At 45.5% G+C, this 15630-nt stretch overlaps 2 long non-coding RNA genes across 2 annotated transcripts in view, besides 1 other annotated feature; one reads left to right on the forward strand and one right to left on the reverse strand.

Moving 5' to 3' along the window:
• LOC107986455 (uncharacterized) overlaps positions 1-15630 on the reverse strand; it is a 38651-nt gene that overhangs the window by 7982 nt on the left and 15039 nt on the right. The window contains exon 2 of the long non-coding RNA XR_001742907.3: positions 7005-7120. This is a non-coding gene — a long non-coding RNA (uncharacterized LOC107986455). The remainder of the gene's footprint in view (positions 1-7004; positions 7121-15630) is intronic.
• LOC124901096 (uncharacterized) lies at positions 1182-5995 on the forward strand. Its single transcript, XR_007058978.1, has 2 exons — positions 1182-1571; positions 1849-5995. It is a non-coding gene; the product is annotated as an uncharacterized LOC124901096 (long non-coding RNA).
• Positions 12572-12866: a silencer, noted in NCBI's record as "tiled region #837; K562 Repressive non-DNase unmatched - State 21:Repr". NCBI's record gives its function as "represses a minimal TATA promoter and a strong SV40 promoter by Sharpr-MPRA in K562 cells {active_cell/tissue: K562}" and the evidence as "EXISTENCE:reporter gene assay evidence [ECO:0000049][PMID:27701403]".

The following is a 15630-nucleotide window of genomic DNA, read 5'->3' on the forward strand; positions in this document are numbered from 1 at the left end:
GTCCCAAATTTCATAATCCTTCTGATGCTTCTGAATTACCTTCCACAAAACACTAGGATTCTATAAACTTTTAATTGGAATTTTATCTTTTAAAAACAGCCTTAATCATGTAATAAGATGTATTTTCAAATATGTGTTCAATTGTGTGGTTATTTGTGATCTCATTTACAGACATGAACAAATACTAAAACAATATATAAATAAATTTACTCAGAGTATTTGGGATCTCAGATTTTGTTTTACAAAAAGGGTTCTGCAGCTGAAAAAAAAATGGCTTGAAAACCACTGCCCTAAGTAAACACTCATCTCTTACTTTGCCTAAAACTGTTAGACCGTTATACATTTTTTTTCCTCCGTCAATCTTACAGGGGTTTCAAAATGCCCTGATTTTGCAAAACTTATGAGCACATCTAAAAAGTCACTTTCTAAGCCTACTATCTCCAAAAATCAACTGTTTGTTCTTTTTCAGACTTGTTTTTGTGAATTTATTATTTTTACATAGGTAGTACTAGCATACTGGCACAGCCCAGTGAGATGAGGTCTCTTAAGCCATTCTGTTTATATCAGATGTTAAATTTTTTAAATAGTCTTTGCTGCAGTGTAGATTATCTTGTCTTTTTCTGCTTTTCAGCTCGTTCTGACAAATGCCCCATGATGTTTTTGTTTTTGTTTTTTGAGACTGAGTTTCACTCTTGTTGCCCAGGCTGGAATGCAATGGTGCCTTCTCGGCTCACTGCAACCTCCACTTCCCTGGTTCAAGTGATTCTTCTGCCTCAGTCTCCCGTGTAGCTGGGATTATAGGCGCCCGTCACCACACTCGGCTAATTTTTATATGTTTAGTAGAGACGGAGCTTCACCATTTTGGCCAGGTTGGTCTCGAACTCCTGACCTCAAGCGATCCGCCCTCCTCGGCCTCCCCAAGTGCTGGGATTACAGGTGTGAGCCACCACAACTGGCCTCGATGATTTTTTTTTTTTTTTTTTTTGAGAAGGAGTTTCGCTCTGTCGTCCAGGCTGGAGTGCAGTGGCGCAATCTCGGCTCACTGCAAGCTCCGCCTCCCGAGTTCACGCCATTCTCCTGCCTCAGCCTCCTGAGTAGCTGGGACTACAGGCGCCCGCTACCACACTCGGCTAATTTTTTGTATTTTTAGTAGAGACGGGGTTTCACCGTGGTCTCAATCTCCTGACCTCGTGATCCGCCCGCCTCGGCGTCCCAAAGTGCTAGGATTACAGGCTTGAGCCACCGCGCCCAGCCGATGATGGTGTTTTTAAAGCCAACTTCTAATACCTCTTTTTTCCATTGCTTCATTGCCAAGAGGAATAATTAGACTGTTGCAACAATTATGACAAAGGCGTCCTATACCCTTGGTCTTCTTTCATCCATAGGGCATCCAGAAGAGACCTGGTTTCTCTGTTGATTGGAAGTTCACATCAAATTCCTTGACCCTGGGATTAAACCTACAGTAAACATGTGTATTTTTGTGTTGCAGATGCGTATCATAGATGGATAGTAATGAATACCATTTATTGAGCATTTATCATGTGCGAAGTACTCTGCTTTCTTCTTCACAGGTAGATTTAATCATCTCCCCAACCCTTTGAGGTAGGGAATACTGTGATCCTTGTTGTATATTTTTAAAAAAATGGAGACTCATGTTAACTGACTTGCCCCTTACCGTCCTTAAGTGGGGAGGCTGGGATTAATTTGGTTTGTGTTGTTAGAGCATGAACTCTTTAACAACAATAGAACACTCATCATCTTTCCTGTGTGTGCACCTGCTTCCATTTCTTTTTATTCTCCTGTCCCTTCTTGATCTACACTTTAACACATTCCTTTCTCTTCCCACAGGATTCCCTTTATTGAAGGTGGGAATGAGGGGGATTCTGGACTGCAGGCACAGGACATCTGCCCTCCCACAGCAGCCTGAGATGTTTTCTTCTTTGTGCATGTTCCCCATGAAGTGGGCTCATACCCCTCCATCAGTGTGCCTCCCCACCTCACCTGGAGCGTGGCTTCAGTGCCCCCACCGCCACCCCCAGCTTGTACTGCAGGGTTTTTTTTTATCCTTTCTCTAAGCCAGTGAGATAGGCACAGCTGATAGTATGAACCTTTCTAGCTAAGAGTCAGATCAAGTGCTGGACAGAGACATGACAAGTTCTCTCAATTAAGCAAAATGGTATCTCGAGACAGGATTTCAATTCTAATTTCATATTAATAGCTTACATTTATTCAACATTTATTGTGTTCAAGTGCTGCTACAGTCCTTTTCACGCAGAATCTTTTAACCCTCCAGAATTGAACAGCAACAGCGCTATTATCCCTATTTTACACTAAAGGAGCTGGCTCCCAGAGAGGTCAGGTCACCCGGTGGACGGAGCAAGAATCCAAATCAAGGCATTCTTGACCACTAACCAATACTTCTCCCCCTACCATCATCCCTGCCCCCACCCCTTTTTATTTTACAAAGTTAACCCGTGTTTATTATGGAACATCTTAACTCTGATTTTTAGAAATCTGCCTTCTGTCAATAGCGCAAAATAGAGTGTTTCATTAGCCTCTTAAAATGCCAGCAATTGTAATGTATACAGATGTGAACCTTCATGGGAAGAGCGTGTCTTTATGTTAGAGAAGAGTGAGTAAAGCTGCCCAGTTGAGGTCATATATATTGACTTATCTGCAGGAAATATTCATTTAGATTTGAGAAGTTATGATTGTTATCAGTCTCATCCTTTAAATTTAACTTTTATTTTTTATACTCAATATTTAGATCAAAATCTGTTGCAAATCTGAAAGGAAGCTATAATCATTTACTGTTATCAATATACCTTTCTAGTAGCCTTATACATAAATGCTCGAATCTAGTCCTTCTCACACTTTAATATGCCTACAAACTACCTGGGAAGCTTAATAAAATGCAGGTAATAGTTTAGGAGGTCTAGGCTGGGGCTTGTGATTCTGCATTTGTAAAAACTTCCCAGGTGATGACCAAACTGCCTGGCCAGAATCAAATTTTCATGAGCAAGTCTCTAATCCACATTAATATTCAAGAAAAAAAAATTAAATTCAAAAGTACAACTTTACAGCCTGGGCCTGATGGCTCACATCTGTAATCCCAGCACTTTGGGAGGCCGAGGTGGGCAGATCACCTGAGGTCAGGAGTTCGAAACCAGCCCGGCCAACATGGTGAAACCCCATCTCTACTAAAAATACAAAAATTAGTTGGGCATGGTGGCACACGTTTGTAGTCCCAGCTACTTGGGAAGCTCAGGCAGGAGAAACTTGAACCCAGGAGGTAGAGTTCGCAGTGAGTAGAGATCACACTGCTGCACTCCAAAGTGAGACTCCATCTCAAAAAAAAAAAAAAAAAAGTAGAACTTTACAAACACTACAGTGCATTTTCTAGAAAATTTTTTCTAGGCCGGGCGCGGTGGCTCACGCCTGTAATCCCAGCACTTTGGGAGGCAGAGGTGGGTGGATCACGAGGTCAGGAGATCAAGACCATCCTGGCTAACACGGTGAAACCCCGTCTCTACTAAAAATACAAAAAAAATTAGCCGGGCGTAGTGGCGGGAGCCTGTAGTCCCAGCTACTCAGGATGCTGAAGCAGAAGAATGGCCTGAACCCGGCAGGCAGAGCTTGCAGTGAGCCGAGATTGTGCCACTGCACTCCAGCCTGGGCGACAGAGCCAGACTCCGACTCAAAAAAAAAAAAAAAAGAAAAAGAAAAATTTTTCTAAATCTCCATTGTTAAGAGATCACTGTGAGGTAGGGTAGGGAGTGTGGGGAAAGATTGGGGCCCCCAGGTTTGAAGATCAGCTTGGTCTTGCCTGTGTGCATGTATCTGATAAAATGCAGGAAAAGTTTGTCTCTTCCCCACCCTCACTTCCACCCACTGTGAGGCTTGCTCATGTCCAGATTGGGCTCAGGATGGCAGTTGTGGATGCTCAGAGCACAAAAGGCTTCTTGTTTGCCCAAGGGCCTATCAGTGTTTAAATAGAACTGGCGGAAGCACAAGCACACCGTATCAGCAGCTTATCAGGGACCATGGTTTTCCACGTACATTTGCTAGGCACTTCAGTTTACCCAACTCCATCAGCACTGAGTTAAATTGCAAGGTTGGGCTGTACTACGCTGAGCCAGGGCAGGGAGAACAAGCCAGTTACTGGGGATGAGGGTGTCGGGGGGGCCCTCAAGACCTTATTTGCATTCTGCCCACATAGAGAATAAAGCTGTGATAGCCTGTGTACTAAGAGGCACCCAAAGAGAACCAGTCAGTCTTAGGAATGCACCCGGAAGGTGGGATGAGTCCAGGCCTCCCTATGGTGGAAGTAGTTGGAGATACCTCTTGTTACCCTGGTTTTCCATCTTAGTTTACCAGGTGTATAGTCAGTGCGGGTTATGGTTAAAGGAGGTGTCAATTGGGGGCCTGTTAATGTCTTAAAATTGTATGCAATTTTGGGGTTTGCAAATGCGTCTGCGTGCATATTTCTCTGGCAGCTGACCTATGAATCAAAGGACTAAATGTTCTTGTACTATTCGGGCTGCATCTTCTTTGAGGGTAATCTTCAGGGCAGATACATGGGTAGCCTACTTTAGAAATGAGGCCTTTGCAATTATAATCACTCCTACTTTCTAAGCACTTGCTATATGCCAGGTGCTGTGCTAAATGCTTTATAAATGTTATCACATTTAATTCTCAGAAAATCTTATGAGATAGGAATTTTTATTTCTAAAAGAGTTATAATTTGCCCATGATCACAGAGCTAAGTAAATGATAGAGCTATGATCGGAACTTCAACTTTCTGATTCCATGTCTGTTAGCACTGTGGAAGGCTGTCTTTGGCATTTTAATATACTTATCAAGTGTTTCATATACATTGGTTAATTTGTCCAACTGCCACAGAGTGGGATGGGTGGCTCTTTTTCCTAAACTGTAGCCATCTTTTCCCCAAAGTGTAGCCTTCATGAATTTTGCCCTATTTATATATCACCTATGCTATTAAGTTACCTACCATTTAAAATTTTTAATTAAATGTGTTATTTCTTACCCTCATTCCTAAATAATAGCCATGGAAAAACCATTGATGTGCTAATTTTTTTCTTGAATCCACACTAAAATAACTACATAACCATTAAAATGAAAAATGCATTAGCCAGGTGTGGTGGTGCGTGCCTGTAGCCTCAGCTACTCGGGTGGCAGAGGAGAAGAATCGCTTGAACCTGGAAGGCGGAGGTTGCAGTGAGCCGAGATTTGCACCGCTGTACTCCAGCCTGGGCAACAGAGGGAGACTTCATCTCAAAAAAAAAAAAAAAAAAAGCTATGTTTTAATACTACTTAATATCATGTAGAGTGCCATCAGTGTATTGGTGCCATGCTTTAAAAAACCCTAATATGTGATTTAAAGACTACATGTCTATATTGCAGCAGAATTGTGGGTAAACTAAAATACCCCCTCATGCCACCCACCCCAGACAGCCCTTCTGGCACAGGGACAGGCTAGGGTCATGGAGAGTGGTGCTAAGAGCATCAGAGAGGAGGCTGGGTTTGACTCCAGGGAAGGCACTCTTATGGTGGAGGCCATGCCCTGTATCTTTCAGGACCTGTTTTAGTTGCTCTAATGAGGCAATGATGCCAAGAAAAAGAATGTTGCTTAGCCCTCCTTGAGGGGGTTGAAGGATTCCAGCGACTGGGGCAAGAATCTGTGTTCTGTGTGCTCTTGCTGAAAGGATATTGCTGGGATATTGAGGGTTGTGGATGAAGTAACCTTCCAGGGGCAGAATTGTGCAGTAAGGTCCCTCAGCCTAGGATGAAAAAGGCCTCTAACGAAAAGCCCACTTGTTCATGTTTCCGTTTTAACTAAATGTTCCTCTCTAAATTCCATACCCTCTGGGGCATAAGCTGAAGGAAAATTTGGAATCTTATTATCTGAAATTGTACGTGCATTTGACCTATATTGCTATGTCTTTAATAAAAGCATCTGAGGAATAGTTCCTAATTTATTGACTCTCGGTTACTCCAAAATATGCCAAGACCCTCAGTAACGAAGCATCCTCATTATCCTCCCCAATAAAATTGCATTTTACATATTAAACTTTTTAATCTTGGACCTTAACCAACTTTATAATTTGACAATCCCTCTAACCAGCAAGTTAGATAAAGAAGAGCAACATACTCATGCTCTGGAGAATGTAATCCTGGAGTCTGTCTTCTTTCACTTGCCTGGGTAAATCAGAGAGGGGGAAAGGTTATTTTTGAGCACCAGCTGTAGTAGGATCTCTCTGATTAGGGCCACCTGTATCAGAAAAGTGACATTTGTCTGCTGCGCAGCTGAGCTGGTGTCTTGATAGTCCCAGAGACAGCTATTGCCTCCCTATAGTCTGTTACTATTTCACTAAGAAAAAAAAAAGAAAAGAAAAAGGAAAAAAAAGGCTGCTTTTGGACTGGGCTGGGTGGGCTGGGCTGGGCATTTAGCATTCCGACTGTCCTCATCCTTGTGTTCAGCAGTGGCTGACCCGTGACACTCTTCTGGGGACTGCAATAGTGTGGTCCAGAAAACAAAATTCTGATGCAGTTCTAATCTTCCTCTATTGTCAGGTGCAGTTCTAATCTTCCTCTATTGTCAGGAATGACAATATGACACGGCCTGGCCAAGAACTCCCAGATATGGTGGTTTTAACTCCCAGATACGTGGCCGGGCATGGTGGCTCACGCCTGTAATCCCAGCACTTTGAGAGGCCAAGGCAGGTGGATCACCTGAGGTTGGGAGTTCAATACCAGCCTGACCAACATGGAGAAACCCCATCTCTACTAAAAATACAAAATTAGCCAGGTGTGATGGCACATGCCTGTAATCCCAGCAACTCAGGAGGCTGAGGCAGGAGAATTGCTTGAAGCTGGGAGGCAGAGGTTGCAGTGAGCCAAGATTGCGCCATTGCACTCCAGCCTGGGTAACAAGAGAGAAACTCCGTCTCAAAAAAAAAAAAAAAAAAAAAAAAGTCTCTCACCAGCTTTCAACTTCATATCTCATTCTCCACAGCAGCCCCTCCTCCCCACAGGGGTTGTGGCTGGAGTTTACAGGAACATCAGGCACAAATGGAATGCTGCCAGTCGCAGGAGATTCCTAGGGAGATAAAAAGCACATCTTTGACCACTTCTTTACCAAACAGACCCAACATGTGTAATTAAAGGCCCTGGGACTCTGCTGGAAATAGGTTTAAACTTGAGGTAATCCCTTCTGGCACTTCCTCTTCCTAATAACCATCAACAAAAATCAAACAAATCCACCTGGCTCCAGTCGGTAAGTCTGCAACCAGCAAAGGTCACAGGAGGAGTGATAAGAGAAGAAAGCGGCCACAAACAGAGTTACTGGAAACACATGTCGTGATGTGTTAGAGAACGACTGCTGCCAGGACCATCCTGGCCCTGAGAAGGGCCCGCTCTGCTGTCTGGAAACTCATTCTCTTCCTCGGAGAAAGGATGCCAGCACGACATGGGAGGGGAAGCATGACTTCGGGGAGCTCATTGGTGCAGCGTGCCTTGGTCTTTCTCTCTGTGAGATGTGACTCAAGCCAAAGAAGACGTGAGGGGAGAGGCAAGCTTTAATGTTCTTCTAGAGTTAATTCCCCCCATCTCTAAAAGTAATGCATGGCCATTATTGAAAATACTGACAGGCAAAATGAATAAAATAATTATCCCTAACTCCACCATGCACTGATTACCCCTGTGAACATTTTGGTGTATCTACTTCTAGTCTGTTTTCAGTGCCTGCATATGTATACAGGTAGAAAATAGATAAACACACATGCAGGGGAAATTTTTTTTTTTAACTTTTAAATTGCATTTCACTGTCTCATTAGTCAATTTGGGCTGCCATAACAAAATACCACAGACTAGGTGCCTTAAGCAACAGAAAGTTATTTTCTCACAGTTCTGGAGGCTGAGAAGTCCAAGATCAAGGTGCCAGCTGATTTGGCTCCTGGTGAGGCCTCTCTTCCTGGCTTGCAGATGGCGGCCTTCTCACATGGCAGAGAGAGAGCTCTGATGTGTCTTCCTCTCCTTATAAGGGCACTAACCCTATGGGATTAGGATCCCAGCTCGTTTAACCTTTATCACCTTCTCACAGGCCCTGCCTCCAATTACAGTCATGTTGAGGGGGCCTGGGCTTCAACACATGAATTTGGGGGGATGCAATTCAGTCCAGAGCACCTGTGCAAACTCTTTTGACTCTGCTTTTTGTTTCACTCCTCTTGTCTTGAACATCTTTTTTCATAGTCTCTAGTCAGATTGTTTTAAGTGGCTGAGTCATATTCCATCACCTGACCGTACCATCATTTAATAATCTGTGATTAATGTCCCCTCCCCTCCCCATCAAGTTATGTTGTGGAAATATCTTGATTATTGCGGCAAGCAGGTTTTTAGCTGAAAGGGCAGATGTCAGCTGGTTTGAGCCTGCCTAGGTGAGCTCAACAGCTTTCAATGGGGAGAAGACTTCGAGTTTCTAGGTGACAGCTGAATCCTCACTGGGTGAATCCTTACTGGTGGCCCATGCCCGAGGCACCTTGAGGACAACATGGAAAGCAACCCAGGAGTAAGGGCGAATTAGGTTTCTCTCTGGTGCTGAGAAGATGTTGGCTGTGGAAGCAGAGGAAGTGAATCAGGATCATATGGCTGTGGAGTGGCAGTTTGCTGAGGGCAGTGAAGTACAGACAGAAGGACAGTTTTAAACAACAGGAAGTCTTCATTCCCTTCCTGGGTGTCTTTGGTCATCTGGGCCCTGATGGTGGAGCCATGCCAGATAGAGGAATTATGATGCTAAAATCTAGTAGGATTACTGGTGAACTTGGCCCTAGGGTTCAGCAGGCTACCTAACATTTGTTCCCTCCATGTGTTCTCCATCTGTGATGTTTGTAGCAGGGAATTGCAATTAGGGAAAGCTATAAAGTCAGGACAAACAGAAGAAACTTAGCAGTGAGCATGAAGTGAGCGCCTCCTAGGTGTGAGGCTGGTACCTGTTACCATCTCCATTTTCCAGCGGGGGTCCCCATGTGTAGGAATGTTGAGTCACTTGCTCAGGGCCGTACAGCTGAGCCAGGTAGAGCTGGGGTTCCATCCCATGTTTAACCACAGAACCTGCCCCAAACCATTGTGCAATACTGCCGCATTCTGAAGCATGTGTAAAAGCTTTCCAGTTGGGCAGGTCTGTATATAAGACTCAGTTAAAGTTAAAAGATAAAATAAGGTCATTGTTAAAAAAAAAAAGCCACTATTTAGTGGTATTTAGTCAACTATCTTTGCCAAAAGCTGGTGGGGGTGAGGGAACGTGTGAGAGCAGGTCCTGGAAACATCCTTGATCATTGTCAGAATAGTTTTGTATGAATTCATACAATAAAAAATAGAACTAATGGGGTACATTAAGTATTTGTCTCTTGGGGTAAGACACAACTTCGAAAGTTTATTATTTTGAACTGACTTTCTCAGTTTGAATGTCTTGAATGAATATTGTAGGGAAGAAAAGGGATAAGGAAAGAAAAGGGATATATATTCCTCACCTATCTCAAGGTTTATGGCCAACACCCTTATAACAAAAGACAGATTAACAATAGAAAAACAACGAATGTGTTTAACCAAAGTTTTGCGTGATGCAGGAGCATTCAAATATGAAGACCCTGCCGGGTGCAGTGGCTCACACCTGTAATCCTAGCACTTTGGGAGGCTGAGGCAAGCAGATCACCTGAGGTCGGGAGTTTGAGACCAGCCTGACCAACATGGAAAACCCCGTATCTACTAAAAATACAAAATTAGCCGGGCGTGGTGGCGGGTGCCTGTAGTCCCAGCTACTCAGGAGGCTGAGGCAGGAGAATCGCTTGAACCGGGAGGTGGAGGTTGCAGTGAGCCAAGATTGCACCATTCTAGCCTGGGCAACAAGAGTGAAACTCCATCTCATAAAAAAAAAAAAAAGAAAGAAATGAAGACCCGACCCAGGGAAAACTGTATTTTTATTTTATTTCATTATGTTTTATTTTATTTTTGAGATGGATTCTCTCTGTCGCCCAGTCTGGCATGATCTTGGCTCACTGCAACCTCCACCTCCGGGGTTGAAGCCATTCTCCTGCCTCAGCCTTCCAAGTAGCCAGGGCTACAGCATGCACCACCACACGCAGCTAAGTTTTGTATTTTTCATAGAGATGGGGCTTCACTTTGAGACCAGGCTGGTCTCAAACTCCTGATTTCAAGTGATACACCTGCCTTGACCTCCCAAAATGCTGGGATTACAGGTGTGAGCCACCGCACCTGACTGAAAACTGTATTTTTATGGACAGTTGTGCAGAAATATGATTGGAGGTCAAAAGGGTATGATCTAAAGGTAACAAACTAGCCTGTTTGTTCAGATTTCTCTTGGCCTCTCTGTGTAATAGTCCTTTCTTCCAGGTATAGGGCAGAACACTTGTCAAATAAGGCTCTTCAAGAGAAAAGGTCAGAGGCCAGGCGAGGTGGCTCATGCCTGTAATCCCAGCACTTTGGGAGGCTGAGGCGGGCAGATCATGAGGTCAGGAGATCGAGACCATCCTGGCTAACATGGTGAAACCCCGTCTCTACTAAAAATACAAAGAATTACCGGGCATGGTTGTGGGTGCCTGTAGTCCCAGCTACTTGGGAGGCTGAGGCAGGAGAATGGCCTGAACCCAGGAGGCGGAGCTTGCAGTGAGCCAAGATCGCACCACTGCACTCCAGCCTGGGGCAACGGGGCAAGACTCAGTCTCAGAAAAAAAAAAAAAGAGAGAGAAAAGGTCAGAAAGACTTCTGCTTCTGAGATTTTCTCAATTTCTTTCAGTTTAAAATACTCAGTATGCCAAAGTGCCACATTTTGGGGTAGTATTTTCTACACCCCGATCAATATAAATGTGTAACCTCATATATTAGTCCATTTTCGCATTGCTATAAAGAAATACCTGAGACTTGGGGCCGGGTGCGGTGGCTCACGCCTGTAATCCCAGCACTTTGGGAGCCTGAGGCAGGCAGATCACGAGGCAAGAGATCAAGACCAACCTGGCCAACACGGTGAAACCCTGTCTCTACTAAAAATACAAAAATTAGCTGGGTGTGGTGGTGCGTGCCTGTAGTCTCAGCTACTCAGGAGGCTGAGGCAGGAGAATCGCTTGAACCCCAGAGGTGGAGCTTGTAGTAAGCCAAGATTGCGCTACTGCACTCCAGCCTGGTGACAGAGTGAGACTCCGTCTCAAAAGAAAAAAGAAAAAAGAAAAAAAGAGAAATACCTGAGACTGAGTAATTTATAAAGAAAAGAGGTTTAATTGGCTCACAGTTCCGCAGGCTGTACAGGAAGCATAGCAGCCTCTGCTTCTGGGGAGGCCTCAGGAGGCTTCCAATCATGGTGGAAGGCAAAGGGGGAGCAGACGTCTTAACATGGCAGGAGCAGGAGAAGGTGTTGGAGAATGGGGGTGGGGGGAGGGAGAGGGGAGGTGCCGCACACTTTTAAACAACTAGATCTTTCGAGAACTCACTCACCATCAGGAGAACAGCACCAAGGGGATGGTGCCAACCCATTCATGAGAAACACTCCTATAATCCAATCACCTCCCACCGGGTCTCACCTTCAACATTGGATACCACAATTCAACATGAGATTTGGTGAGGACACAGATCCAGACTGTATCACCTCAGAATTGTTCAGCCTCAAACTCAAGTACACATTCCAGAAAGTTGGAGTACAGCTTTAGGCTGGGTGCAGTGGCTCATGCCTATAATCCCAGCACTTTGGGAGGCTGAGATGGGAGGATAGCTTGAGCCCAGGAGTTCAAGAGCAGCCTGGGCAACATAGTGAGACCCCATCTCTACAAAACATTTTTAAAAACTTAGTGGGCCATGGTGGTGCACACCTATAGTTCCAGCTACTCGGGAGGCTGAGGTGGGAGGACTGCCTGAGCTCAGAAAGTTGAGGCTGCAGTGAGCCATGATTGTGCCACTGTACTCCAGCCTGGATGACAGGGTGAGATCCTGTTTTGTTTAAAAAAAAAAAATTCAACAAAAACAACAAAAAATACAAAGACCAGAAATTTGTAGTATAGCTTTAAAAACAAGGACAGAGGCTGGGCGTGGTGGCTCACGCCTGTAATCCCAGCACTTTGGGAGTCCGAGGCAGGCAGATCACTTGAGGCCAGGAGTTTGAGACTAGCCTGGCCAACATAGGGAAACCCTGTCTCTAGTAAAAACACAAAAATTAGCTAGGTGTGGTGGTGCACGCCTGTAATCACAGCTACGTGGGAGGCTGAGGCAGGGGAATTGCTTAAACCTGGCAGGCAGAGTTTGCAGTGAGCTGAGAGATTGTGCTAGTGCACTCCCAGCCTGGGAGACAGAGCGAGACTCTGTCTCAGAAAAAAAAAAGGATAGAATTCAGGTTTTGTGCTTTTCAAATTTTTTCAGCTTTAACTTTTCAGATACTCTTTTGATTGTGATACTAATAATTTTGACCTGATTGATCAAAATTTGAAAAAGCTTTGGAAGGCAAGATTGGATTTTGGCAATATGTGCAGGTTATAGGACACCAAAAAGGTGACAATGAGAATATGCAGTGAAAAAACACATGGAGTCACTGCAGCCATGTGGGAGCCTGCAAATCATGCGTTTTCACCACCATCCCTGGGGAGGAAGGAGGAAAACGTGGCACTGAGCAGCCTGCCCACACTGAAAATGAAATCCCAGCCAGCAGGAGCGCCAACGGTGGGGGAGGGGGGGGTTTTTCCTTGGGAACAGGTGCTGCCTCTAAGGTTTCAATTTGCTCATTTGCCCCCTCAATCAGAATAACAGTTGCACCAGGACTTCAAGAGGTTATTTGGCTGCTAGGGAGAGTCAGGGGAAACCCAGGTCTTTGGGGCTTGTGTACCAAGAAACTGGCCCAGCCATTGTCATGCTCTTATCCTGCCAGAGCCCAGAGGACATGTGGAGGGAGCAGGCCTGACCCAAGAAAGTCTTGGCAGCACTGCTGTGTCCCCAAATGAGGCTTTATCCTGATTTGGGGGCCTCTACTGCTCTCTCTGACCCCTTGTCTGGGTCTTGGGGCTGAATCCCATCGGCCTGGCAACTCATTGCCCCATCACCCATGGAGAAAACTGGAGAGCCTAGAAGCTGAGGGCTGGAGAAAATAGGGCATAGCACTGACAAAGTAGTAGCCTAAGGACAGAACAGCCAGGCAGGGCCAGGGACCTGAAGGTGGCCTTTGGCTGGAGCAGATTGGAGCAGAGCCCTTAGCATCTGTGCGTGTGGTTGTGTCAGAAGTAACAGCTCAGGAGGAAGTCAAGGGAACCCAGACCACCTGGAGGGAGTCAGGAACGGGTATGGTGGTGGCAGAGAGAGGAATAGGATGATAACATGATCCGTTCCCAGGACCCGGCCCAGGCAGATAAGGTGGAGAATTGGTGTGATTTCCTCTGCACACCTAGTCACTTTCTTTCCCATTCCCACCCTTTCTCCATCCCTGGCAGCATTGCAGGTGTTAAGTGGATAAAGATAAGGCAAGATCCTGAGCTTAACCAGACCATTGTCACTGTAAACATATAATTGCAGTGCAGTGTGATGAGCAGAGAAGCAGGAGGAGGAAGCCAGTGCAAAGACAGTGTCCGGGGAGGTGCCATGCAATCTCGGATATTATCCCTTCTAGTAATCTCATGTTTCTTAGTGTTGTCTTCAAATGGACTATGAGCGCTTTTAGGCCAGAGACCAGGCTTTTGCCTCTGACTCCCGCACAAGCCTCACCCAATTCAGAGTTACAGTAAGTGTTGGTCAGTGCTTTAAATGGATCAACCATCCTTGACTCCTGTGGCTGATGTGTTTGGTTGGAGATGACAGCCCCAAAGTCTTTTTAAAGCAGAAAGCAGAAAAGCTTGGATGGTCAGTTAATCCAGGCTCTACTTTCAGAGAGGCAGGTTTGAAATCTGTCCCACTTTAGCTGAGCCACTTGGGGCAGGTTATAGGACAGATTTGTTATACTCCAGCTCTCTGAGATTCTGTTTCTCTAGCTATCAGAGTGCATGCCGCTGCTGAGAGCTGACCTCGGGATTGTGCCTGGCTGCAGTCAGCACTCAGAACAGGGTGTGGCTTCTCTAGACTGGAGTGGTCTGAGTCTATTTTATTCCATCAGGCTCTAGTTTTTTCTAGAACTGCCCTTCTTAATTCTGTTCTGAGCCAGAGTCTGGAGGTCCAGGAAAGGGATTAGTCCTTGAAGTTTACTTTGCAAAAAAAAAAAAATTTTTTTTAAAAAAGCTTAGATCTCGGCCAGGCACGGTGGCTCACACCTGTAATCCCAGCACCTTGGGAGGCCGAGGTCGGTGGATCACGAGGTCAGGAGTTCGAGACCAGCCTGGCCAACATGATGAAACCCTATCTCTGCTAAAAATATAAAAAAAATTAGCTGGGTGTAGTGGTGGGTGCCTGTAATCCCAGCTACTTGGGAGGCTGAGGCAGGAGACTCGCTTGAACCCAGGAGGCAGAGGTTGCAGTGAGCCAAGATTGTGCCACTGCACCCCAGCCTGGGCGACAACAGCAAGACTCCGTCTCAAAAAAAACAAAAAAAGCTTAGATCTCCTATTGGCCTTTTGAAAGACTTAGGTATAACTAGGAGTAGCAAAAAGGTCAGGTGACAATGTGGGACCAGAGAGATCTTTAGTCTTCCAAAACATCAAAAGACTCACCTGATCCCTCCACGGCAGTTACGTGTCCATTTTCCGCCTTGCAACCAGCAAGTAATTTAAAGGGTGATATTCTGGCCTTGTGTGAATATCTGATCCCACAACGACCAATTTTACCCAAGGGCTTTCTAGCATCCATGCCTGATCAGAGTCTCACTCTTTTGCCCAGGCTGGAGTGCAGTGGCGTGATCTTGGCTCACTACAGCCTCAACTTCCCAGGTTCAAGTGATCCTCCCATCTCAACTGCCTGAGGAGCTAGGACTACAGGTGCATGCCACTATGCCCAGCTAATTTGTGTATTTTTTGTAGAGACGGGGTTTTGCCATGTTGCCCAGACTGGTCTCGAACTCCTGAGCTCAAGCAATCTGCCCTCCTCAGCCTTCCAAGGAGTAAGGAGCAAGGAGTTGGGAAAATGTGTTTGGTCTTTAGGAGGCGGAAGAGTGAATGTAACTGAAAGGTTGAGGTTTCCTCTTCCTCCCTTTCCTCTCTTTCTCCTGTGATTCTTCAGCTCTTTAGAAATGGGTCCGAGGGCCTTGCCTGGGACAGACCGTGCTCCCAAGCCTCTATATGGAATGTTTTTCATTCCGGGCTGGTGCCCTGGGTGAGGTTGGGGAGGGAGGCGAGAACAGCGAGCTTCATCTCCAGATCCTGTGTTTTTTCCATTTTTGGAATGAGCTGGAAGGGCGTTTGGAGGTGGTAGTGTCATTATCTCTCCTGCTGACACTTTGCTTGTGGAAGGCTCATTGGTGTCACCAACCTCTTCCTGAATGGAAAAATGTTTCCAGTCTTTATTTTTTCCCCTCTTCATATAATAACGATGGACCAAAGGTGCTTCAACGCACCACTCACCTGACATTCACGGAGCATTGTCTGTGGGCCGCGTCCTCAGGCTAAGCGGACAGAAGGCAACCTTAAGGTGCTCACTGTCTAG

Source organism: Homo sapiens, chromosome 5, assembly GCF_000001405.40.
Source record: "Homo sapiens chromosome 5, GRCh38.p14 Primary Assembly".
Lineage (NCBI taxonomy): Eukaryota > Metazoa > Chordata > Mammalia > Primates > Hominidae > Homo > Homo sapiens.